Below are 23,640 nucleotides of genomic sequence, written 5' to 3' on the forward strand. Positions count from 1 at the left end.
CTAATTCTGAGAATACATTCTCATTGGATTTGGCTGATTTTGGCAGGCCCACTCTCCTTTGCCAGGGATGGGTCCAGGGATGGTCACGAAACTCCGCTTTGGCCAATAGGGCTTAAGGGAAAGACCTCCAAGGGCTCCTGGGAATGATTTTCTTAGAAAGGGACATGTGTGGAGAAAGCCCTTTTTTCTCTCCTCACTTTTTGCTTTGAGCTGCTATCATGCAATGATGTTTGGAGCTGTAGCAGCTATCTTGTGACCATGAGGTCTTGTGATATCATGGCATGCAAAGAGTAGCAGAGTGTGGAATTAGAAAGACTTACGTCCTCAGGGACAATACTGAACCCCTGAACAAGCCCAGGGGCCTTATCTTGGAACTTCTTATTCAGTCAACACTAATGTTTTAGACAAAACTTCCTAACCAGTGAGTGACAAACAGCTTTTAGTGTACAGACAGTCCTCAACTTATGATGGTTGAACTTAGGACTTTTCAACTTTCCAATGGTGCTACTGGACATGCATTCAGTAGAAAGCATACTTTGAATGACCACATGACCATTCTGCTTTTTACTTTCAGTACGGTATTCAGTACATCACATGAGATATTCCACACCCTATGATGAAATAGGCTTTGCATTAGACACTTGTGCCAACTGTAGCTAACGTAAGTGTTCTGAATGTGTGTAAGGGAGGCTCGCTAAGCTACCATGTTTGGTAGGTGAGGTTTATTTTTGATTTGTGCTGGGTTTATTGTAAACCATGGAGCATCTGTACCGAGCTGACTCCAGGTAGCTGGAGGGGGCCGAGTGGCCTCAGTGCCTTCTATTTCCCACCAATGATGAGACGAGCCAATGCATGCCACCATCTCTCTGCACACCATGGTAGGATGGGGTGAAAGCTGGGAAGCACTGCTTGAGGCCCCAAGAGTTGCATGCCCCACCATGGACAACCCGTCCCCATCTTCACTCCCTCCACTCCTCTTGCTTCCCAGACACCTCAGACCCTATCTAACTCCATGTTTTTGTACTTGCTGTCTTCTCTACCTAAATGCCCTCCCTATCTGCTCATATCTTCCTGGCAAACTCCTACTTACCCCTCAAAGCCCAGGTGTTGCCTCTTCTGTGAAACTCCTCTGAGGCTCCAAGCCTCCGGGCCTCTGCTCCATCTCTCATTTGTGCTTCCTTCTGCCCCACTGCTCATTCCTGTTGACTGATGGTCTATCCTGCTATAGACTGGGCCCTCCCCAGAGCTAGAGACTGGGTTTCATTGTTGTTTGTACCCCCTGTTCCTAATGCAAGGCCCGGGGGGCTCAGACCAGGGGCTAACCATTTTTGTTGGTTAGCTAAATGAGCAAGGTAAGTGAGTGAATGAATGAGCAAATGTTTTCAGCTGCCAGACCTAGGGCAGAGGCCAGGATGGTCTCTCCCCTGAGCAGAGCACAGTCCAGAGGTGGTGCTGGCACAATGGATGTTCCAGTGGTGGAGGCGACTCTGCAAAGGTGGGCCAGGTGCCTGCTGCTGATGGGCGGGTGGAGGCCTGCCTGCGCCCAGCCCTCCTGCTTCCTCTAATCCCGCTTCTCCCCCTGCACCTCGGGCTGCCTCCTGGGGGCCAGTCCCACCCTCATTCCTCCCCCAGGCTTCTGCCAGCTGAATTATCCTCTCTGCTATCTCCTTCCCTCAGATGTGCTTGGGGGCTGGGGTGGGACACTGGGGTAGGAGACAGGTGATGGCCCTCACTGCTCTGGGGAAAATTAATTAGCCTGGGTTCTGCAAGTCACTTTGAAGACAAAAAAAAAAAGAAAAAAGAAAAAGAAAAAAAGAAAAGAAAAGAAAGGAAAGGAAAGAAAATACTCGCATGGGCCAACTATTATCGTGAGGTGAGGCTCATCGCTCCCCTATGCTAGGGCAGGGTACGCACCCATCATTCCACTCCATACCTGTTTTTCTAGAAAATCCATCTTCTGAATCTCAGCTCTCTGGTGCACGGTGAAAAAAGGCACAAGGAAAGCTGCATTGGTGCCCTCTCTGGGTGGGCCCCACCTGCGGAAAACTGATTCCCAGTTGCTGCTGGGATCCAGAGCTTCAGATCTGGGTTAGAATTCCCAGCCTCCTGACCCCTGCCTGGGGCCTGGCCTCTCTAATGCTTCTGGCATACAACAGGTGCTCAATAAACAGAGCTCCCAGCCTCCTGTCATTGTCTTGGGATGGAGCCGACAGCATCCACACAGCCCCAGGTCAAGGCTGAGCCTGCTGTCAGGGCCTGGTTTCCCGGCTGCCTCCCTAGGGACCACCCAGCCAGCCTGCCTGCTGCACTCCACTCCAGCTCAGAACCGCAGAGCAGCTGACAGCCCTGGGCGTGAGGATGCCAGCTTCCTCCCCACAGCTGGGAAGGCCTGGCCAGACCTCAGGGTGGACCCTTGGCATTAACACCCCCAGACTGGAGTTGTCTCCTTGACATACCCTGGAATGCTCTCCCTGCCCTTTCCCAAGGTGGAAACTGAGGCTTGGAGGGGTCTGGTCTCTGGTTAACAGATACCCAGCCAGGCTTCCAGGCTTCCAACCCCAGCTGGGCTGGGGGAGGGGGTGGCTGACAGGCAGGCAGGTGAGGTTTGGCAGAGGGAAGGTCTGGGAGCTTTTTAGGGCTTCAGAAGTTTGGCATGGGGAGCCGGAGGTGAGCGACGCTTCCTTCTTGGGACCCTCCTGCTCTCTGGTCTTGGCAAACCTGCCAGGCACAGGTGGGCCTCAGAACCAGCCCGTTTATAGCTCCAGGTGAGCGCTCATGGGGCCCCCCACTGAGGAGTTGGGGAGGAAGGCCGGGCCGTGGGCTCCAGATGAAAGGCCAGAGGCGCCCCTGCTATCTCTGCTGCTCCTCACCTGGTGTTCCTGGCCGGCTTCATTACCTGGAAAACCAGAGGGCTTCTCTTTTCTCCACCCCTACCCCCACCCGGGCTCCGCCCTCTCCAGCCGAGTCTCCTTTGCCTTGGAAGATGTATTACAGTGCCCAGTAGGTGCCAGGCCTGCACAAGGCACTGCAGGGGACCCTTGACAGAAGGACTGGGTTGGTGGGCTTCGTCTAGAGCAGGCCCTTCACGCCTTTGAGCCTCAGTTTCCTCTTCTGTAAGGTGGAGATAAGAGTCGCCTCCCTCACAGAGTTCCGGAGGAGACAAGAGAGATAGAGAAAGAGCTGAGTGGAGTCGTGGCCCTATCTTCACGGGACCCCCAGGTATTGGTTCCCAGCAGCCATGGGCTTGGCCTGTGCAAGGCACCTCAGATAAAGAGAGGAGGGGGCCTTGGACTCTGTCTCTGGAGGGAAGGCAAGATGGCTGCTTACTGCTTTGTCTGACAAATAATTCTCGGCACCTACCTGGTGACAGACCCAGTCTGAGCCGGTCTTTGCCTTAGGGAAACTTTCAAAGTGATACAAGAGATTAAAACCTGCTGATGCTATGGGGAGGGAATAACAGTGACCAGCATTTATTAAGCACTTACTGTATGCCAGGCCCTGTTTCCAGTGCTTTTCATGTTTTAACTCACCTAAGGCTCTCAGCCAACCACAAGGTTGGTATTTTCACAGGCTGAGGACACCACACGCAGCTAGGAAGTGTAAACTTAGGATTTGAACCTGGGCTGTTGGGCCCGAGAGCCCCTTTCAGAGAAGGCTGAGGACTTCTGAAGAAGTGTGGCTGCAATGCCGTAAAGGAGAATGGAAGAGGAACTTGGGAGAGGCCTTGCTGTTCCTTCTAGACCACCACCCTCTCCTGCTCACATGCCTTCAGTGACTTCCCAGTGCCTACAGGACCAGTGCAGGGCCTGGGGCTCCTGACCCCCATGCCCTCCGCTGACCTCACCCTTCACGGCTGGCTGTGCCCTTGCCTCCCTCACAGGGCTGTCCTGCCTTTTCTCCCTTTCCACAGGCCCTGCTCTGGCGTCCAATCCCAATCTCCCAGCTTCCCGGGTTAGGGTCAGTCTGAGCAGTGGCACCGTCTCGTGAGTTTCTGGTCCTGCCAGCCAGACGCACTTATGCCAGGAGGTTCAAGGGGTGCTAGTTTTTAAAACTGGGATTGTTTTATCACATTTTATTGTCTTTCTTGGTTAAACCCTTGAGTATACAGTAGATATATATGCATAGCAGAAAACCTGGAAAATAGGACAGTAAAAGACCAGCAAAGACTCAGAATCCTGCAGCCTTCCCCAAGAGTTAGCTGCTATTAACAGATGGGATCTGGCCAGTACACCTTTTCTTTTCTTTTTTTCTAGTAATGCATATTTTTAAAATGCATTTTCCTTTCCTATTTCAGGGTTTGTTCCCCAGGTGATCAGTGAGTCCTTCTTGCTTCTAGCCTAAAACTCTCGTATGGGGTTTTCCCTCCAGAGTGGGGAAGCCCTGAGAAGATGCCATTCTGGGTTGCAGGGTGGGCAAGAAGAGGGTCTTCCCTGACATGCGGTCAGAGAGACCAGGGGTTCTGAGTATCCCATGAAATGAGGACTAGGGGGTCGCTAAGTGACCTCTACAACCTGGAAGGCCCATTCCACAGGGCAGGCGCCTCTGTCTGTCTCGTCCATTCTTTAATCCCCATAGCTACAGCAGTATGGGCTAGGAACAGGCACTCACTAAGTATTTATTGGATGAATGAGGCCGTGGGTTCTGTACAGAGCAGAGAATATGCAGACCAGAGGGGAGAAGGCCTTGCCCATGGCCCTATGCTCAGGAGTCAGGAATCAGAGGCTGGGTTGTCCCTGCACGATGGGGTGGGGGTGGGGAGCCCTGAGGCCAGGATAGGGTGCTGCAGCTTCCTGGTGGGGTCAGAGGCCCTGCCCAGCCCCCTCCCACCATAGGGCAGAGGAAGTGGAGGCTGCATGTCAGAATGCCTGAGGACAGCCTGGCTGCAGAGCCATTTATCACCTGCAGCAATTCCAGGAATGTGGAAATAGGCCAAAGTCAGAAAAGCTTGGAGGGTGGGAGGCCAAGAGATCCCCCCAACCCCTTTTTTCAAGAAGTAGAGAAGCCCAGAGCCTTGGCACCTGGGATGTGTGTTACCTGAAGAATCAGACTCATGGAGCGTGGGCTAACTTTTGCTTTTAGAGGATGCCCACCACGTGCCTGGCACTGTGCAGTGAACTTCACACCTGGCCATCTGGGGCTAAAGCTTGTGCAGTGATGCCCTGTGCTTTCTTCAAACCTGAGCCAGGCTGGGGCCAAGCTGTCTGCCTAACACCCTGCATAGCTCCCGCCTGCTGAGAGGAAAAGTGGAATTCTCACAGAGGCCACAGCCCTGACTGAGCCAGGTCTCCTCCAGTCTCCCTCCTGCTCACTCTGCTCCAGCTGCTGCCCTGAGCCTGCCTCAGGGCCTTTGCCCCTGCTGTTTCTTCTGCCTGGGGTAAGTCTTCCCCATTCAGCTGCCTGGTTTATTGCTTTGTTTCCAGGGCCCTGATCAGAAATCACTTCCTCCGAGAGGCCTTCTCCGACCACCCTTGTATGAGAAACACCCCTAGCTGCTCCGCAGTCCCCTAGACATGCACTGTCCAATACAGCAGCCACAAGCAATGTGTAGTCTTGAGTACCTGAAATGTGCCCAGTGACAGTCCAGGTGTGCATAATGTCCAGTATGCACTGATTTCACAGACATGGCATGAAAACGACAAAATAACTTATTAATCATTTTTTGCATTGATGGCATGTTGACATGATAATATTTGGACCTAATAGGTTAAATCACCTATATTGTTAATATTAGTTCCATCCGTTTCTTCTTGCTTTTGTCCAAGCAGCTATGAGAAAGTGTAGAATTACACAGGTGCCTCACACACTGGGGCACCATCACCTGACCTGGTTTTCTTCCTGGCCCTCACCCGTCTGCCACATCGCGGGTTTACTTGTTCATCTGTTTATTATCCACCCTCCCCAGGAAAACACCAGCTCTGTGAGGGCAGGGATTTGTGCCCGTTTTGTGGCTGCTGTACCCCACACATGTAGAGATTATGAATGAATGAAGGGGTGCCCTGTGCCCGCATTGTGCTCAAGTGCTTAACCTTGAGGGAAGGCGGGGAGGAAGGGAGGGGTGAGCCCACGGTGGGTGGCCAGAGTACTACAGGGAGATGAGAACTGATCTCGGGTCCAGACACTGCCTCTGCCTATGGGCGGCAGGAGCCTCAGTTTCCCTGTCTGTCCTATGAGGGTCTTGTTTTCTGCCTAAAGGTTCAAAATGGGGTGTCCTCCATGAGGCTGTCTTGGGAGCTCCAGCGGGCAGGGGAGCTGGGCACAGCCCTTTCCTGACCAGCACCAGAGCTGGACAGCGGATGAAAGGAATCGCCTCCAGAATGAGCCCACTGTCTTCACCATTCCTATGGAGGTGGTGCGAATGCAGGAGCTGAGACTGGCTTGGGCAGGAAGTCTCCAAGCCTCAGGGTGGGGGCGGGGGCCAGAGGGGCTTGGGGACACACAAGTGGACATGGCACGGGGGGTCCTTGAGAGGGATGTCAGATAGCTCCAGTGAAGTGAGACGGATGATGGGAGGGTGTCAGAGGGGCACTGTTGGCTTCCAGGGCAGGGGTGGCCACTGCTGGGGTTGATAGAAGAAGGACTGATTCCCAGGGGCAGACGTGTTCCCACTGGTGAGAAGGCTGCATGGGTGTCTGCAGGGCAGGGCAGGGCAGCCCAGGGGGAGAAGAGCCAGGCAAAGGTGTAGGGGTGTTTGGGGCAGCAAGGAGGACGATGAGGCTGGGAGCTGGGGACCCTGGGTAGTGGTGGAAGCTGGCAGGAGGGCTTGTCGGGGGCCTGGCTGCTCCCGAGTGGATGTGGCCTTCCATAGACTCTGTGGTCATGGCGGGCATGGTGGCTGCTGCTCCCAGGGTACTCAGAATGGGGCCACCTGGAGTGATGAGGAGAACAAGGGACCCTGGGTATCCCTGCTGCAGGGGTGCTGGAAGGTCAGCCAGCCACCAATCCAGCTAAGATAGTCCCCGCAGAGGATGGCTGGCCAGCCCCAGCTTGCACACCTCCCAGCACGAGGCAGTTGCTTCTTCACAGCGGCTCAGGATGGGGATAGCTGCTCTCCACAGGGCAAGTTGAGTTTGTCTTCCTGTGACCCTGCCCCTTCCCAGGCCAGGACTCTGTCCTTGGGGACAGAGATGTAAAACAGCCCTACAGGGACTGGGGACCATGATGAATTCTCCAGCTGCTCCTTGAAGCCTATCTCCAGCCTGGTTCCTCCTCCGGTGACTCCCTGCCTGTCTCTGCTCTTTCTGCTGGGAGATGCAGACGGGGAAGAAGCCGCATTCTGCAGGACCAGGGGGTGGGGTGCCCCCAGATTACCTGTGACTTTGGGCATGTCATAGCCCTGCTCACAGCCTCAGTTTCCTGCTCTGGGAGGTGGGTATGAATCACAGAGCTTCCCTCGCAGGGTGAGCGTGAGGCCCTTGCAAATGGCGCCAGGCCTGGCCCCATGGGATTGCTGGGCGCGCTCCCCTGCTTTCCTGGGGAGCTGGGTTTTGAGTGTGGGCTGCCAGGCGGGCGGGCAGGCGGGCAGGCCTGGCCCGTTACAGGGATTAATGGGTGGCTGGCTTTGGAATGATCACCCCCCATACATGGGAGGTAGGGTGGTGGGCAGCCAGGGAGCCAGGAGTGATTCCACACCTGCACATAATTACCAAAGGATCTGCCTCCTGGGAATTATTTTTATCTTAATATTTTATGTGGTTCCAAAAATTGGGAGAGGGTTGAGCAGGGCCTGGGACACAAGCAGCAGGGGTTGCTGGGGGCACTAGGAGGTCACTGCCCCTCATGGCCACCTGTCCAGGCACCTGGCACTGGAGTTTGCCTGCCATCGGGAGAGGATGCCCAGCTGCTCTGGGGCCTGCAGATCATCTGGGAAAGGTGAGAGTCCATTGGAGGCAACGGAAGCCCTGTGCTGCTGTGGCTGGGAGAGCGTGAGTGTGCACACGTGTGTGCACGTGTGTGTGTGCAGTGTAGTGGCTGCACACTGCAGTGGCTGAGCGGAACTGGATGTGTGAGTGAATTTAGATGGGACATATCTGAGCAGGTGGGTGTGCATCTGAGTGTGCTCAGTGTGTGTGTCAGGGCAGCGTGTGCCTGCGCATCTGAGTGTGTCTTGGAGGAGGGCGGGGGTTGATCTTTAGTGGGGGCCGACTGTGGGTGCGCATGCACCACAGCATGATGGTATGTGTCTGTGCTGTGGGGTTGTCGGTGCATTTGGTTTGGGTGTGTGGCAGTGCTGGACTGTGAGTGTGTGGCTCAACTGGGCAGCTACTGGAAGAGGTGGGGAGACTGTGTGTGGGGTGGGATGTGTACACGGTGTGTGCTTAGCACCACGGGGAGGTGCTGAGTCAGTGGCAGTGAGGGAGAGAGCTGTGAGTGCGCAGGGGTGAAGGTGTGAGGGCTATTTGTGTATGACTGGGTGGGTATGAGTATCTATATTTGGTCTGAGCCCAGATAGGGTGTGTGTGTGTGTGTGTGTGTGTGTGTGTGAGAGAGAGAGAGAGAGAGAGAAAGAGAGAAAGAGAAAGAGAGAGATGAACATGTGTGTGGGATGAGTGGGTGGGTGTATTTGCAGCTGTGCAGTTTTATGGTTCCTACTTGGGTTGAGGGACCCGTGGCTGAGTGCCTGTCCTATTGCCTGGCTGGGGCTGACCACCAGTGGGTGTGGGATTGCCCAACAAGTGAGGTGCCTGTAAGTGTTTAGCAAGGGTGCGATCTGGGCTCACGGTGACCTATACCTCCTAGGCTCAAGTGATCCTTCTACCTCAGCCTCCCAAATAGCTGGTAACACAGACATGCACCACCACGACTGGCTAATTTTTGTATTTTTGTAGTGTTGGGGTTTTGCCATGTTGCCCAGGCTGTCCGGAACTCCTAGACTGAAGCGATCCACCCGTCTTGGCCTCCCAAAATGTTGGGATTACAGGCGTGAGCCACTGCGCTTGGCCGGATTGTTATAAACTTAATGAGATGGTGGCTCAATCGTGGCAGCTGCCCCATGCTTGTTTGCTTGTTTTTAACCTAGAGCAAATCAGTATAGCCCCTTGCAGCTGGTGGCACCTGCTTTCTTTGATTTCCTCATTCAAGGGGCCCTGGAAGCCTCTGGCTGCCATCTGGAGGGGCAGCAGCACTCCTGCCCTTCTTTCCCTCAGTGTTCTAACAATTCACCAGCCCTCCCTTGAAATCCAGAGCACTCAGCCATCCTGCAGGCCACCACGCTGGTCTGCTTCATTGATGACATGCCATTTGGTCCTGGGAAATGAGAACCAGGAACATCTTAGACACCTTGCTCAGATCCATGTTGTGAGGAGACAGGAAAGAAGCCCCAGAAAAATTCAGGAACCTGCCACCTTGGCGAAACTTCTAGGGGTCCCGTAAGTTGGGGCCTGTCAGGGTATCCCTTCCTGGGTGAAGATGGCTAGATGGCTGCACCTTGCTCCTCTTGCCACCAAGGAAGAAAACATACCTATTGGGGCTTTGGATTGTTGAGGACAATGTTGAGTGTGTGGCTCTCACCCAGATTGCTGCCAGTTTTGAATGTGACCCCAAACAAGAAAAGGCTCTGCAATAAGTCCAGGTTGCTGTACAAAAGGCCTTGTCACTTGGGCCATATGACCCAGCAGACCCAATGGTGTTTTGAGTGGCAGCGGCAGATAGTGAAGCTACATGGAGCCTTTGGCAGCTTCTATAGGTGAATTGCAGGGAGGATCCTTGGGGTATTGGAGCAGAGCCATATGATCGTCTGCGGAGAATTATTTTCCTTTGGAGAAAGAGTTTCTGGTTTGTTACTGGTAGAGCTGGGAGAGACTGAATGCTCGATCATGGGCCACAAAGTTACCATACCGCCAAGCTGCCTGTCATGGCTTGAGTGCTGTCTGGCTCACCAGGCACAGGGCTGGGTGAACTCAGAAGCATCCCATTTGCAGGTGGAAATGGCACACGTAACACTGGGCTGGAACAAGTGCTGAAGACAAAAGTGAGTCGTAGAAACAAGCAACTCAGACTCCTGTGTCACCTGCTTCTCCTCTCCTCATACCTATGTTTTGTGGGGAGATTGCTATGACTACTTGGTGGTGGAAGAAAACATTCACCCCAGCTTACAGATGACTCTGCATCATGTGTTGACACCATTCCACAGATAGCGACAGCACTATAGCTCCACTCAGGGTGGCCCTGAGGACAGCGGTGAATAGAAATTCTCTTTGTGGAAAGAACTTGAACAGTGTATCTGGATGGCCTTTTTGCCTTCAGGGAGAGATAAGGGTTTTTCTACATAGGTCCATGTGCAACGGGCTAATTATTTGGGTGGATGATCAGGAACATGGCAGGATGGAAGGAACACTATTGGAAAATGAGTGACAAGGAAGCCTGGGATGAAGTATGTGGCTAGACCTTTGCAAATGAGCACACACTGTCAGGACACTGGTGTCTCATCATTGTGCCCACCAAAGGGCAAGCCCAGCAGAGGAACCTCCCAGCAATCCGGTGGCAAGATGACCTGTTTTGAGGATGTCAGTCAGCCTCTTTCCCCAGTCACATCTGCCATTGACTAATGGCTTTATGAACAAAGTGGCCATGGTGGCAGAAATTGAGGTTCTGCTTGAGCTCAGAAAAACATGGATTTCTACTCATTAAGGGTGATCTATCTGCAGGCACTGCTGATATTCCATCCCGCCAGCAGCAGACACCAACACTGAGCTCCTCCATGCCCTTACTGGCAGAACACCAGCCAGACACCTAGTGGCAGGTGGATGACATTGGACCACTTCCATCATGGAAGGAGAATGATTTGTCATCACTGGAATTGTCACTTTTTCTGGATATGTATTTGCCTTCCGTCTGCACTGCTTCTTCCAAACCCATCATCTGTGGTCTACAGAATGCTCAACCCATTGTCCACAGTATTCTACACAGCACTGCATATGGCCAGGAGAGCTCATTTTACAGTGCATTAAGTGCAGCAACAGGCTTGTGTTTGTGGAATTAACTGGTCTTTTCATCTCCCCATCTCCCTGAAGCAGCTGGCCTGATGGAACTGTGGAATGGTTGCTTTAAGACTCCCAACTGCATGACAACAATTTGTGGGGCTGAAGGAATGTCCTACAGGATGTGGCATGTGCTCTAACACAGTGACAAATATATCTGTGTGGTTTCTTCCACAACCAGGATTCACTGATCTGAACATCAAGGGCTAGAACTGGGAGTGGATCTTCTTACCATGACCTCTAACATCCCGTTGACCAATTGCTTGCTTCCTATCTCCACGACTTTATGCTATACTGGTTTAGAGATTTTGATTCTCAAGGAACAAATGCTCCCACTGGGAGACATAAAAAAATCAGTCCATTGATTGGAAGTCAAAACTGCCACCTAGCCCTTCATACCACGGAACCAATGGGCTTAGAAAGGTGTTTTTATAATGACTAGGGCAATTGATATGGATGGTCAGAAACAGAGGGCAGGCAGAGGGGAGTATAGCTGGTACAAGTGTTCTCTGGGGCACCTCTTGGTACTCCTGAATCCTGTTGTTACTAGAAAACTATAGCAGCGTGGTATAGGCAGAACCATAAATAACATCATCCTTCCAGGAATGCAGCCATCAGCCTAGGAACTAAGCTGAGATGAAGGCAAAGGGGATATGGAATAGGGAAGGGAAGATGGAAGTTACAAATACAGCCACGTGACTAGTTGCAGAAATAGAGACTGCAGAATTTGTGTGTGTAGTGTGTTTCTTGCTTTTCTATGCATATACCAGTATAGATTCATCCACCATCGTTCTCTTTCCTTCCTCTCCTATTTCCATACCGTTGAAATACAAAGTAGATGAATAGTAATGAACCTGTATCTTTGCATTAAAGTTATAGACATCAAAGGGGGCATGTGCCTCCAGTAGCAGAGGGGAAGTGACATGTGTAACATGTGTCTCCTCTTAGGGGAGAAGGTAGTTGCTTCCAGTTGGTTGAGGGGTACTTGCGTTGGCTTAGACACAAGTGCAGTGTTATGGTCTTCATTCAGAGGTTAAATGTAGTTAAAACAGGTATGTGGGATGCCGACTGGACAGAGTGTGTCGTGTTGGATCATCTGTCATTCAGCTTGGCACACAACAAAGGCTGGGAACAATGTTTTCATGGATCCCTTCCTGTTTGGACCAGGGAAGAGTTTTTCCAGTGAGTGGTATCCATGTGAGGTTGGGAGGTAGAGCAGACATGGCTTGGATGTGGCAGGGTCAGATGCTGTGGCCTGGGCAGATGTGGTGGCTTCCACGAACCTCTGCATGAGCTCTCATTTCATGGCCCCCTCTTGGGAGGTAGACCCCCTAGGTTATCAGATTTCTTGACTTTTCCTTTATGGAAATGTATTGATCGGCTGACGTGTGATAAATGCCTAGTGCTATGGCCTGAGTATTTGTGACCCCCCCCCGTGAAATTCATATGTTGAAATCCTCACCCCACAAGGTGATGGCATTAGGAGGTGGGGCCTTTGGGAGGTGATTAGGTTATGGGGCAGAGTTCTTATGAATGAAATTAGTGCCTTATGAAAGAGGCCTGAGAGAGCTCCCTGGCCCCTTATGCCATGTGAGGACACAGTGATGGAAGCCATCTGTGAACCACAAAGTGGGCCTTCACCAGACACCCAATCTGCAGGCTCCTACATCTTGGACCTCCATCCTCTAGAACTATGAGAAATAAATTTCTGTTATTTATAAGCCACTGAGTCTATGGTTTTTTTTTTTCCCACAGGGTCTCACTGTGTCACCCAGGCTGGAGTGCAGTGATGCACTCTCGGCTCACTGCAGCCTCGATCTCCCAAGTACAAGCGATCCTATCAGCTCAGCCTCCTGAGTAGCTGGGACTATAGGCGCACACCACTGTGTCCAGCTAAGTTTTGTATTTTTTTGGTGGAGACAGCGTTTCTCCATGTTGCCTAGACTGATCTGTAACCCCTGAGCTCAAGTGGTCCACCTGCCTTGGCCTCCCAAAATGCAGGGATTACAGGTGTCAGCCACCATGCCTGGTCTTATGGTATTTTGTTATAGCAGCCTGAGTGGGCTAAGACACATCTACAAGCTGCTGAAGGGACAAAGGTATCTCCACATGGGTGGGGACCCCAACCTTGCAGAATTGCTAAAATGGTAGCGCCCAAGTCCTCACCCCAAAGCTACTAAATAGGCCAGGATTTCTTGGTGCCAAGAAATCTGCATTGTTAGCAAGCTACATCCCTTCAGGCAATTGCGGAGGCTGCGCAGACAGGCTGGGAAACTGAGATAGAAGACTCAGACCTTATCTCCTAATCGTGGTCAGCATACCGCATTGAAGAAAAATCGAGCCATCCAGTGAAGAGTTCTGATGATTCTGATGACTCTTTGAAAACAACAGCAGTAATGATCATCAATAAACCAAAGCAGCGCTTTGCACTCAAAAAAATCCTAAATAACAGGGGTGTTCAATCTTTTGGCTTTGCTGGGCCACATTGGAAAAAGAATTGTCTTGGGCCACATATAAAATACACTAAGACTAATAGTAGCTAACTTACTTTAAAAAAATCACAGACAAAAAAATCTCATAATGTTTCAAGAAAGTTTACGAATTTGTGTTGGGCCACATTCAAAGTTGTCCTGGGCTGCATGTGGCCTATGGGCTGAGGGCTGGACAAACTTGTTAAATAATATAAAGCAATGTTTGTCAAAAGTGATATCTGTAGCCTTGGAGTTCAGCGAGACGATTTTAGGTGGCACAGGGAAAAAAATATTTTCTATTTTAGTAGCTGTAGCATGTCAAACATGTTACTCGCTTATGGTTACATTAAATCAGGCAGCAAGTTTAAAAGAAGAGGGTTGGTTTAGGCAAAGACATAGGTGACAGGAGAGGTGGGCAGTAGTAAGACACACCATTGTGTAGACCCCGTGCAAGGCCTTGGGAAGCACCCCATGTCACTTCTGTGACATTCTTGCCAAAAATATATAACCTCGTTCTGATCATGAGTAAACATCAGACAGATCCAAACCGAATCCAAACTCTACAAAATAACTGAGCTGTGTTCTTTAAAAACATAAAGTAAAACATAAGTGACCAATCACGACTGAGGAACGGTCCCAAGTTGGCAGGGACATGACAACTAAAGGCAATATGGGATCTGGATCTGATTTGGGACCAGAAGAAGGACATTTCGGGAAAATTGGCAAAATTCTAATAAGGTTTTTATGTTGGTTAACAGGATTTTATTCATGACAATTTCCTGGTTTCAATCATTGTACTTTATTGTGCAAGATACAAACATGGGGGAAACTGAGTCAAGACTATACAGGAAAACCTTGTGAGTCTAAAATTATTCCAAAACATTAAAAAGGAAGATAAATGGTATCTGATTGAATTGAAAAATGAAAGAAAAAGAGTAGGGTCTATGTGGAGTGGGCAGAAGTTTTGCAGGATGTGTAAGGGTGTCTGACTCAGGAGAAATTCACTCAGAAGTGTCTGCTCATTTGAAAGTTTGAATGATTCTTTAAAAATCAAAACACTTGGAAGTTCTAAGGATTCCAAACATTCTCCCTTCCCTCCCAAATCGAATATTCCCCAATTCTAAAGATTGGGGAATCAGATTATTGCAAAGTTCTCAAACTGCCAAATATTCTACAGTGTTAGAAGCATTGCCTTATTTTAGGCAATGCTCTTCAAACTGCAGGATGCACGGGGTCACTTGTTTAAAATACAGATTCATGAACTTTGTCTCCAGAGATTTGGAATCGGTAGGTCTGGAATAGGGCCCGGGAATCTGCATTGTGAATGCCCCATCTGTGAGCTTGTTGTAAGCACCCCAGAGGCCCCTCTGAAATCTCTGCTCTAGGGGTCCCAAGCTGCCCTCCAGATCAGCCCAGTAGTGGGGACCAGCCCGACTGGGAAGGGGTCTGTGTGGAGCAGAGGATGGAGCATTCTCTGGTGGGTGCTGGACAGCAGCCCAGCAGACCTCACCTGTCCCAGGCTTGAGCCTGGCTGTGCCAGGGGGATGGGGAGATGGGGTGGGGTCTCTGGGGACTCAGGGTTCCTGCCCCCTCCTGATCCCTGTCCATCTGCTGCCCGGGAAGCCAGGCCACTTGTGGGGCTGGATGTGTGGGGCAGACAGCCTGACTGAGTTGCCACAGGTGCCCTGAATCTTGGGGATGAAGCAGGCATGCTTCCTGCCACGGGGTCGGGAAGGAGCCAGGGAGGGAGCAGGGGGGCCTGCAGCAACAGGCAGGGTGGTGACACAAAGACCCATTCACCATCTCCAGGGCAGTGGCGACTCTCAGGGGAATCTCTCAGTGGCTGGGGGTGGAGAGAAGCCAGTTCCCAGCAGACAGCTTCATGCCTGTGTGGCGTGACATCTCTATTTCCTCCAGAGGCTCTAGAACACAGGAGCCTGCAGCCTAGGCCCCCACCCCGCCATCCTAAATAACGGTGGCAGGCGCTACTCTCAACACCTTAGCTGCTTTTACTTGCTGAATTCTCACAACAACAGAGATCTCATGGGGAGGTGAGTAGAGGGACATCATTGGGTAAGGACATCATGGATCAAGGGCTCAAACCCCAACCCTGGGCTGCAGTCTGCTCCCCAGCACCTCTCTGCAGGCTGTCCTGCTTGCACCCCACCCCCTAATACCATGGCTTCCCATTCAGTCCCACACAGCTCTGGCAGTGAAGATGCTCTTTCTTGCAGGGAGCTAGAGTCTGCCTCCCTGTGAGTTTCCTTATGGTTCTGGCTCCTCCCAGGCTGCAGTCTCCAGCCCGTCTCCTCCTCTCTTCTAAACGTACCTAGAATATTCCTGCTTCTCCTCAAGGGTAGGACCCAGTTCTTTCAGAGGACTCTGCATTGTATGGAATATAACTGAACAATCACCTCCCTTATGCTGGGTATAGGTCTTGGTTAATACGATCTGAACTACTCACTTCTTCTTTAGAGAAGCTATCCCACTGTTGATGCCAATCAGTGCTCTCAGGTAGGCCTTAAAGTGTTAACGCTTTTCACTTGGCTTTACTATGACGTCTGCATTCTGTGCATTTTACTTTTGCCTCTTTTTAGCTCTATCATACTCAAGGGAATCATGGGGCATTCTTGCAGGGCCTGACGCTAGTGCCCTCATCCCGGCAATAACCAACACCAATAGCACCCATCACATACTCACCACTTCACACAAACCTGCTTTCCCCCACTGGTATCTCATGAACACCTTGCAAGCATCAGGAAACTGAGGCTTGGAAACATGGAAGGACTTGCTCAAGGTCACACGGTGGAGAGGAGCAGAGCTGAAGACAGCGCTAATGACCACTTTTTAGCTTTGCTGTGTGCTAGATATTGGGCGGGGTCTCTCTTACAGTGACCTACTGAGGTAGACTCCGTGCCACCTGCTTTGTATAGGTGAGGAAACAGGTGCAGTGTGGTGTAAACACCCATCTGCTGCTTCGGGTGCACAACCAGTGTGAGATTTGGACCTGATGGGCAGGTTTAGGTCTACACTCTTCATTCCTGAGCTGTTCTGCCTCCCAGGGCTGTGAGGCTTCCTCAACCATGCTGGGCCCCTCTCAGGCTCTTTCCTCACTGTGATTTGGGGAGAGCGGTGGCTTCCCTGTGGGCTTGGGGGCTGATGTGCATCAGCCGACCTCCCTCCCCACACAGAGCAAGTTGTCAGGGAATGAGCGTTTATAATGAAAGGAAAAGGAAGGAGTATTCAAAAGCCTTTTCTGATCCCTGAATGGAGTTAGACTGCCTCTCGGGTTCCCTCCAGCTCCCCCAGTTCATTCCTTTGACAAATATTTTTCAAGCACCCGCCCGAGTCCCTAGTGTCCTATAAGGCCCCTGTGATCTGGGTCCTGCGACCTCTCTCACTCCAACCCCTTCACCCTCCTGCAGTCACTGCACTCTGGCCACACGCTCTCAGCTTTGCCTGGCACTCTCCCGCTCCAGGCATTTGCACTGGCTGTTTCCTCTCCCAGAAATCTCTTCCCCCAGATGTCCGGTTGGCTCACTGCCTCGGTTCCAAAGACCTTTCATTTCTCAGGGAGATCTTCTGTGATCACTGTGTCTAAAATTTCCACACCTGGCCCACGCAGCACGTCCCGTCTCCCTTCCCAGTGTCACGGTTTCTTGTTAGTCTTTATTGTGCTTCCCCACACCAGATACCTTCCTCACAGTTGTGGTTGTTGCTGTTTGACTGTCAGCTCAACTGGGAGGGGATTGTTGCATGGTATACTCACGGCTGTAACCTCAGTCCCGAGCCAGTGCCTGGCACCCAGGAGGTTCTCCGTGAACATCGATGGGGTGAGCACAGGCTGTGTGTCTGGATTAGATGTGTGGGAAGCAGATTCTTCTTCAAGGAGCGATGCCTGTCTTTGTTCATTTGCGAATATTTCTTGGACATCCTCTGTTTCAAATTTCACAGCCCTCCCCATTTTGTTTTAGTGATCACACAGTGTCCCAAGGCACGGATGGATGGCTCATGACTTATTTAGCCAGCCTGCTGTTTCTGTTGAATATTTGGACTGTTTCTGATTTTCGCTGTCCCAAGCTACAAACCTCCACACTGGTGGCCACCATCCAGGAGGTGGCAAAGCCCCTGCTGAAGCCAGCTGGGGTCCTCAGAAGAGCTGAAGCGGACCTTGGGCCCTAGCTGGCTAGGAAAGGGCATCAGAGTTGGGGGAGGGGTAGAACTTACAAATTTGCCATTAATACCTCAGGACCTAATTCATAAAAGCATCTAATTATGGGGTGCCAGTGTTTAATTGTAATTTTGGTAATGACCTGCAACTGCATACAAATTATAGGGTAATCAACTCAAACGTGCTGACAGCTGTTATAAATGCCATTTAATCTGACGTGGAGCACCCAGCCGGTGTCTCTGGGACTCAGGAAAAGGCAGGGTGTGGAGGATGGCCTGCATTCGGCTTATAATACCAAGACAACGGGAATGGCATAAGGCCAGACTGCAAACACCAGCTGCCATGCATTTTTACTCACCCCTCGTCCTTGCCCATGAAGTGTGGCCCAGGAAGGATTGCAGCAAGAGGTCAAACCCAGATTGAACCTGTAACGGTTTGGAAGGTGAAAGAGGAAGGCTGCCTCGCTGGGCTGGCTTGGGGCAGGATAAGGAGCTCAGAGACAGGGGCATGGCTGAACAGGCTTCCTCTGCACCTTTGGCAGGGGGTGGGCCAAGTCAGAGGTTAGAAATTGGTGGCCGCTGATGTGTTTTATCTGGCCTCATGTGCTCTGAAATAATACATCTGGAAACCTTAGGTGAGGCACGTGCTGCTTTTTAACCACACTCCCCACCATTCTCTATCATCTTCCCTGTAGCCTACTCTCCTCCACTTTCACCTTTACCACCTGGGTCCTGTTGGCATTGAGTTGCCAGCACCTTTCCAGAGATAGTGTCTGTGGTCAGGGGAACACGGGCTTTGGAGCTGGACACACAACTTTAAAGTCTGCACTCTGTCCCTTGCCAGCTGAGGGGCTGGGGGCAAGGAAGAGATCTCTCTGTGCCTTTCCACGTGCCAGAGAGAGGGTGCACACATGTATAAGGCCCCACCTGAAGGGTTCAGTCAACAAGTTCTCCAGCTGCGAGGGTAATGTAGCGCAGTGTGGGCGCTGGTGCAGACCGCCCAGGTTCCCATCCCAGCCCAGGCACCAGCAAGTTTCTGGAACTTGGGTTAGCTGCTTCAGCTCACAGCTTCTTTATCTGTAGAGCAGGGAAACTAATAAAGAGTGCTACCTACCTCAGACGGTTATGTAGAGTTCATGGATATGAAGGGCTAGAACAGCGCCTGGCACACAGCTGGCACTTCACAAATGGTAGCCAACACTGATATATGCAATGTTGGCTTTTGACATCTGATGTGTCGGACACTTGGAGTACATCTCAGTGAGTACCTACCATCTGCTGGGGAATTGAGGACAGGGTGAAGGACAAGACAGACAAAGACTTTCACATACACACACCATCCTCTTTTCCTCTCCCTCTCTTTGAAAACTCTTCCTTGTTGATCTGTCCTGCAAACTCATATTCATCCTTCAAGACCCAGCTGGTTTCTCCCCCTTTGCCCAGTCTTTGCTGCTACCCTCCGTCCTCTGGGCCAATATCTGTTGAGCACTGGCTGCCTTTGTGGCATTGAGCTGAGGAGGCCATTGGCTTGTCTCTGTCTCTGAGTGGGGGTGTTTTGGTGGCTGGATCATGACTACACTGAATATGGCTCTCTGAAGAACTTGCTCAATATGGGTTGAACTGATCCTATTAAAATAGCAAGTCAGGAGGACCTTAGAGGACTTCTGTACCAGGGCGGTTGCCTTTCTACTAATTTGCTTTAAAAGGAAATATATGTTCATAGGGTAAAACAATCTATTACGCTAAAGAAGTACATAAGGTACAAAGTGAAATTTTCCTTTTCAATCTTTTGAATTTTTTAGAGATTACCGATGTCAATAGTTTTTTGGGCTTCATTGCAGACATTCTCTATGCATCTCCACACTGTCTATTTCCCCTCTAAACACACTCGTCTGCACCTTTCTTTGTTCACTTGCTAATATTTCTTGGACTTCCTTCCATTTCAAATTTCACAGCCCTCCCCCATTCATTTTAGTGGTTGTGAGGGGTCCCAGAGTATGGATAGTTTGTGATTTATTTAGCTGGTCCCCTATTTATGGGCATTTGGGCTGTTTCTGAGTTTTGCTATCCCGAGCCTCACTGTGTGAATGTTTTGGTATGAACCTTCCCATGTGTAATCTGCTGCTGGTGATATACTCAGCGGGGGTGAGGTCCCCTGAGTGAGCTGGCCCGTCCTCTATTGTTGGGCCTCTCTGTTGCTTTCAGTCCTTTTGTATTTCGCACACCTTTCAGGGGCTGAGTGCTGCTACTAAACCGCTTTAGAAACAGCCTTATCCCATGGGTCCCTCCGTGGTTCAGGATCTCCAGAGTTTTGCCGGGAAACACCCCAAAGGATGGACAGCCAGGCACATCCCTGCCACCCTCTTGTCCTGCCCCCACCCAAGTGGGACAGCTGTGCCTTGTCCTGTATTGCATGCATTTTTTACTGTCAACTTGGAGTTTCTCAGCTACTGAACTAAGTCTGAAGGCACTCATTTAGTTGGGAGACTTCCTCTGCCTCCCCATTTCAGGTCTAGGGAAGCTGAGGCCCAGGGAGGGGGCTATGTGCCCCCAGTTCATCTGGAAACCTCAGCTGCAGGTTTGAGGCCTGCCCGGTCTGGGTGGGCAGCGGCTGACACCAGGCTTCCCTGGGGCGGCCCCCCCAAAGGGGCCTTCAGCCCCGTCCTTGGCCTAATCCCGTTTTCTGCCCAGCTGAACAGCCGAGAAGGCTTATTTCTCGTCCCATTTTAATGCAAAGGAGGCTGCCTGGCCTGGACTGGCTTGTTCTGAGTGCAGTGACAGTGGCCGTGAATGGGGACCCCAGTAACGGGGACAAAAATGTGACAGGGCCCTCCATCATGGCATTGTACGACAATCGGGACATTATGGTTGCTCCTGGAACCCTCTCCAGGAAGGGGTGGGAGCCTCCGCCTGGTATGCTAAGCAGACAGAGGCCAGGCCTGCCTTGGGCCCCTGGCCTTGGCCTGGTCAGTGATTCCATTGTGTGAGGCGCTTGGACCTGAGCAATTCAAAGGGTTCTCCAGCTGCCTCCCTCCCTCCCACCTCCTGTTACTGAGGCCTGGGCATCTGGGGTGTGGGTGGAGGGGCTTTCAGATCCCGCTGCTGGTCCCACCATCTTGCGGTGTGTCCCCAGGACAGCTGCTTCCCTCTCTGGGCCTAAGCTGGTACTAACAACAGCAGTAACGACAACAACCACGTAACAGGGGACATTTGAATGTTGGCCATAGCGCTTGACATGCGTTCCTTCTACCATTCCCACTGCCTTCCCCTGATTGAGGAGGTCATTGAGGCCCCGTACGTTAAGTGACCAGGTGTGAGAGGCACAGTATGACATAGGGGATGGGCCTGGCTGTCCCATAGAAACAGAGTGCAAGCTTCACGTGAGCTTTCCAACTTCCTGGAAGTTACGTTAAAGAATATATCAAAAGGAACAGGTGAAATCAAATTTAATTATCTAATTTACATAACTCAATCTACCCCAAATATGATTTCAACATGTAATCTGTATTTCAGCTACTACGAATGAGACATTTTGCATTGTTTTTCATGAAGCCTGGTGTGCATTTGACACTTAGAGCACAGCTCAATTCAGCACTCACCACCTTTCAAATGCTCGTGCCACACGCGGCTGGTGGCTGCCGGGCCGGACAGCGCAGCTATAAAGGGGACCAGGACATATGCTCACTTCCAGCCTGTGCTGCTCACTCGCTCCATGACGCCAGGCGGGTCACTCTGCCTCTCTGAGAATCAATTTCTGGGTGATGAAGAGGAGCAAAGTAATCTCTGGGGTCCAGGCTGCTTGGGGACATGTACCCTGAAAGGGGCTCTCTGAGGCCCCTGGGTCATTCTTCAGCCCCTCTACCCACAGGGGTTTTCCTCCCAGACCGTGGCTGGGGTGGTCTCTCTTCCATTCAGGCACCAGCAGAGCCCAGGCATCTTCAGTACGTTTTGTCCCGGGATAGGGGTCAGGGGTGACCTATATAGGTCCTAAGTCAGGGACGGGGGTCCCCAAAAGATTGTTTCCCTATGTTAAGCCTCCCCACAATTAACCCATTTTGCAGCAGTGGAAACAAAGGCCCCTTCACCTAAAGACACATAGGGAGGGAGTGGCTGAGCAGAACTTTCTCCTGCCTCTTGTCAAAGCTTTAGCTAGGAGCGTTTCCCTGTCCTCAGGTTCCTCAGGGCTCCATGAGATTCTCCCGCTGACAAACGGAAATGCTCCTCCCCTGGATGAAAACCAGGGAAGAATTTTCCACTGGGAATTGAGGCTGCCCCACCTCGGCTCTGGCTGGGTCTATCTGCTGAGCAACTTCCAGTGGATCGTTTCCTCTCTCTACCCCAGTTTTTGTGTGGGCAGGTCCAGGGTCCCTGCAGCGGGGGGCGGAAGGGGGTTGGTCAGTGTTTGCCGGCCGCCAAGGGCGGGTTCCAGGTCAGGGGTTGGAGGCCAAGACAGGGGCAAGATGTGGCTCTTTCCTCTCCCCCAGCAGCATTCTCCCCAGACCCCATTGATCAGAGGAGGCTCCCATCCTCAGAACCACAGACTCGCCTGCTCTGCCAACCCCTGGCGCCTTTCTATTTGTGACTGGACAACTTCCAGGGCCGGAGTTGGGATAGGCGGTAATGGACCACAGAGTGAGTTATGGAGCCGTGCAAGGCGACCTCAGAGGTAATGGAGACCGGGTTGCAAAGGACACAGTCCCAGGGCCCCCGTGCAGCTAAGGGGTGGTGCCCCACCCGTCCTTACTCCCTCAGCCCCCAGCTCCTCCCCTGCGCCCCATCCTGTGCCTCAGCTAAACCTCTCTCCAGCCCTCCTAGGTTAGCTTGATGGCTCCATTGTCCAGAATTGGAAACTGAGGCCTGGAGGAGGAAAGGAGCTTGTCCAAGGTCACATCGTAAGTGAATCTGGAGTCTAAGGCCCTTCTCCCGCTGGTCTGGAGGTCCCAGCAGCCCAACATGGGCCCTCTCCCCACCTACTCCAGTGCTAAGGGGTCCAGCCTGAGGCTTCCAAATCTGTTCTTTCCCTGCCTTGGACTGGCTCTGCCTGCCCTAGGATGCTGGTCCTGCTGCTTCCCACCTTTATGTGTTGTGGCTTTGGCCAGGTCACTTCTCACTGAGTCTCAGTTTTCTCATCCATAAAATGGAGATAGGCACCCTGGTAGGGCCTCTGTGGGATCCCTGGGTCACAGAGTAGTCGGGGACAGTGTGAGAATTACCTTGGACATTCAGGACATGCAGGAAGATCCCAGAGGATAATCAGGAGCTTCGTATCAGCCTCATTATGTTGCCATGTGTGTGAGACCCTCAGTGGACAGGACAATGGAGACAACAAGGAAATAAGCCCATGGCTGGGCCAACTTGAACTCAGGTCCAATTAATCAAGGTCTATGCCAAAAATGAGGGAGGTGAATTTTGTGCTTTATGCTGCTTAGATTTTTCCTGGATTTTGTCCTTGGGGCTGGTTGAGAGAAGCCAACCATTTGGCTTCTCCATTCGGAGAATGTACTCCAAATGGAGAAGAGGTTGCTGGTAGTCACGGAAGGCTGTCCTAGGGCAGGGAAGGAAGTGGGGTTGTGGGTAGAGAGGGTGGAGTTGGGCTCCAGTGGCCAGAGCAAGAGAAGTAGGCTCCAGGTTGTCGGGAGGGAAAGCTTACTCCCAGGCAGGCCCCACAGGGCTGGGGCAGGCTGGCCCAAAAGGAGGTAGCTTCCTATTCAGGGAACTATGTGAGCTGCGGATGGACAGCTCTGCATGGAGGGGGACGCAAAGGGTCTCAAGCATCGGATCGAGGCTGGACTCTGGGATCTGCAGGGCTCCTCCTGTTCAGAGATGCAGACTGGGAGCAATGTTCCCAGGGAGCAGCAAGAACCATGGATGATTACAAATTGCTCTGTGATTTTCTCCTGTTACCATGGTGACAGCTGGTCTAGCATCTTAAGCAGCAGCAGGATGCAAGTGGATCTTTTAAAGCCCTTCAGGCTTCTTCATCCTCCCTCTCCCCTTCCCCTCCCTGCCTCCTTAATGCTGTT

The 23,640-nt window shown here is 51.7% G+C and overlaps 4 annotated features.

Moving 5' to 3' along the window:
* Positions 7,588-8,088: an enhancer, noted in NCBI's record as "H3K4me1 hESC enhancer chr3:13814826-13815326 (GRCh37/hg19 assembly coordinates)". NCBI's record gives its function as "activates a minimal SCP1, AML or CMV promoter by ChIP-STARR-seq in naive H9 embryonic stem cells {active_cell/tissue: H9 hESC(naive)}" and the evidence as "EXISTENCE:reporter gene assay evidence [ECO:0000049][PMID:30033119]".
* Positions 15,059-15,558: an enhancer, noted in NCBI's record as "H3K4me1 hESC enhancer chr3:13822297-13822796 (GRCh37/hg19 assembly coordinates)". NCBI's record gives its function as "activates a minimal SCP1, AML or CMV promoter by ChIP-STARR-seq in primed H9 embryonic stem cells {active_cell/tissue: H9 hESC(primed)}" and the evidence as "EXISTENCE:reporter gene assay evidence [ECO:0000049][PMID:30033119]".
* Positions 21,197-21,937: an enhancer, noted in NCBI's record as "H3K4me1 hESC enhancer chr3:13828435-13829175 (GRCh37/hg19 assembly coordinates)". NCBI's record gives its function as "activates a minimal SCP1, AML or CMV promoter by ChIP-STARR-seq in naive H9 embryonic stem cells {active_cell/tissue: H9 hESC(naive)}" and the evidence as "EXISTENCE:reporter gene assay evidence [ECO:0000049][PMID:30033119]".
* Positions 21,938-22,677: an enhancer, noted in NCBI's record as "H3K4me1 hESC enhancer chr3:13829176-13829915 (GRCh37/hg19 assembly coordinates)". NCBI's record gives its function as "activates a minimal SCP1, AML or CMV promoter by ChIP-STARR-seq in primed H9 embryonic stem cells {active_cell/tissue: H9 hESC(primed)}" and the evidence as "EXISTENCE:reporter gene assay evidence [ECO:0000049][PMID:30033119]".

The sequence above is a fragment of the Homo sapiens genome, chromosome 3 (assembly GCF_000001405.40).
Source record: "Homo sapiens chromosome 3, GRCh38.p14 Primary Assembly".
Lineage (NCBI taxonomy): Eukaryota > Metazoa > Chordata > Mammalia > Primates > Hominidae > Homo > Homo sapiens.